Below are 2,356 nucleotides of genomic sequence, written 5' to 3' on the forward strand. Positions count from 1 at the left end.
TCAGATTAGGGATACTCAACCTAAAATATGTAAAAGACAAGGCTGGGTACGAAGCTTCAAGTTCCTGAGTAATCTTGGGGTAAAATTTACTAACTGGATGTTTTCAATTTTCCTGAAAAAAGAAAGACTGAAGGAAGAAAGCAAGGAAAGGAGAAAGGGAGAGAGGATGGAGGCAAGAAGAAACTGATATTACCAAAGAGGGTCAAGGGTAAGTTTGGAAGAACTCCCCAAGAGCAAGGACACTGATTACCCAACACTTCCACCTTCCAGGCCTTTTGTGCCCTATCCCATTTACCCTCCACAACAGCAGTGAGGGAGGTACTGTTATGAGGAGGCCCTTTTGCTAATACAGAAACAGGTCTAGGCGGTTCCAGGAGGGTCCTTGGGTGTGGATCTGAGAGTCTGATTTGGGATTTCTCAACAAAGAGGGATTCGGTGCACACCACCAGGGGCACCAAGTGGTGATGATGATTCAGTCCTGCAGATTGTCCCAGCCTGGTCGGTCTCCTTTCATCCCAGAGGGGAAGGAGTCTGCAGTGGCCTGTAAAATGCAACAGATGCTAAGAATTTTCCTTTTGCAGCTTAAGAGAGCCACTCCCTCCTATCTTCCTCACACCCAGCCGGCTCCCAGGTCACAGAGCCAATTCATCTAAGATGTCACTGCTGGTAACCAAGCAGGAAGCTGATAGAAGCCTACTGCTGGGGCGTTTAATCTTGCAAAGTAGTGTCAAGCAGGCATGTCTCAGGATGCTGTGACTCAGCATGAGTTCTGCCCTTCAGGTTTTCATCCTTGGGAAGTCTCAGCCTGTGGGGCCAGGTAGAGCAGGGCAGAGACAAGCAGAAAACCAGCATCTGCCACCTGGTCTCCAAGCCGTGTCCCTCACTCACAGTGGCCCTCAGCTGAGTTATCTCCCCAAAACCAAACCACTTATAGTCACTTCATTTTCTGTGTCCAGAATGGGTTGTCCTAAATGTCCCAGTGGCTTGGCTTGTCATCCAGGTCTCACACCATCCAGCCCCGCCTTACAGGACAGGATTATCCTCCCTACTGACAGCTATCCCTTCTCAAGACCAACTCATCTATTCTGATTCCTAAAAGTACAGGCCCTGGCATCTGAGAAACCTGATTCTGCCACTAACTACATAGGACCCTAAGCATGTCACTTACCCATCAGTTTCTCATCTTTAAAATGAGCTCATCGTCATCATAACTATCTCACATGGTGGATGTAAGGACAAAATAAGATACGGCCTTGAACTGCCTACTCGGTGCTGAGGTTTGACACCAATAGATTTGTGTGGTCAGCTAAATAATGCCCCCCAAAGATGCCCACATCCTGATCCTTAGGACCTGCAAAGAGACTTTGCAGATGTGATTAAATTAAGGGTCTTGAGATGGGGAGATGATCCTGGATTGTCTGAGTGGCCCAATGTGATCACAAGCATCTTTATAAGAATGAGGCAGGAGGATCCATTGGAGAAGGAGACGTGATGATGGAAGCAGAGGTCAGAGTTGTGAAGAAGAGTCCAGGAGCCACAGCATAATCTTCCTCTAGAAACTTGAAAAGCCAAAGAAAGCCAGTTTCTTTCAGAGACTCCAGAAGGAACAAAACCAGCAGACACCTGAATTTCAGACATCTACCTTCTAGAGCTGTCAGGTAATAAACTGTGCTCTTTGAAGTCACCAAGTTTGTGGTGACTGCACCAGTAGGAAACTAACATAATACAGACATTTGGCTTCCCTCCTTCATATCAGTACTACTAGACTGTAGGGCTCATGTGTCACAGTTCTCTGAAACTCTCACAGTTCTACCGCAATGCCCCACACAGAATATCCTGCTAGAGATTGCCTAAAAGGCAGGAGAGCAAGTTGCGTGCTCTGAGTTTGGAGGCAGATGATCTAGGTTTGATCCCAGGTCTTCTATGCACTCAATGTGATCTTGGGTAAATCATACCAACTACTTGAGCCCCAGTTTCTTTTTCAATAAATGGGATAATGATATGAGTTCTCCAAAATGCATGTTCTCCAAAATGCATGTCTTGTTCATTTTCCTTTTAATTTCAGGAAGTACATCCATGTTCAGGTGTGTCTCCAAGTGTGTTTTCACTTTTCACAGTAACTTGATGATGGGTCTGACTCAGTATGAATATAAAAATCCTGCTTTTTCTCCCAGTTGGCTGCTGAGGACATTGAGTCTTCATTTGACACCTGGGACCCTATTTACTCATTCACAAAGCAAGGGGAAAAATAAAAATCGAAGAGATGGATGTGAATGGTTTCTAAGGGATCCATCATTCCTTTGCTTAATCGCTGAAGGCTTATGAAGCATTGAAGCTATAGAATAAACCCCAAATG

At 45.5% G+C, this 2,356-nt stretch overlaps 1 annotated feature.

Annotated features, from left to right (window-relative positions):
* Positions 1-1,200: an enhancer, noted in NCBI's record as "CDK7 strongly-dependent group 2 enhancer chr6:40758342-40759541 (GRCh37/hg19 assembly coordinates)". NCBI's record gives its function as "activates an origin of replication core promoter dependent on BRD2, BRD4, P300/CBP, MED14 and CDK7 cofactors, with strong dependence on CDK7, by STARR-seq in HCT116 cells {active_cell/tissue: HCT116}" and the evidence as "EXISTENCE:reporter gene assay evidence [ECO:0000049][PMID:35650434]".

This window comes from Homo sapiens, chromosome 6 (assembly GCF_000001405.40).
Source record: "Homo sapiens chromosome 6, GRCh38.p14 Primary Assembly".
Lineage (NCBI taxonomy): Eukaryota > Metazoa > Chordata > Mammalia > Primates > Hominidae > Homo > Homo sapiens.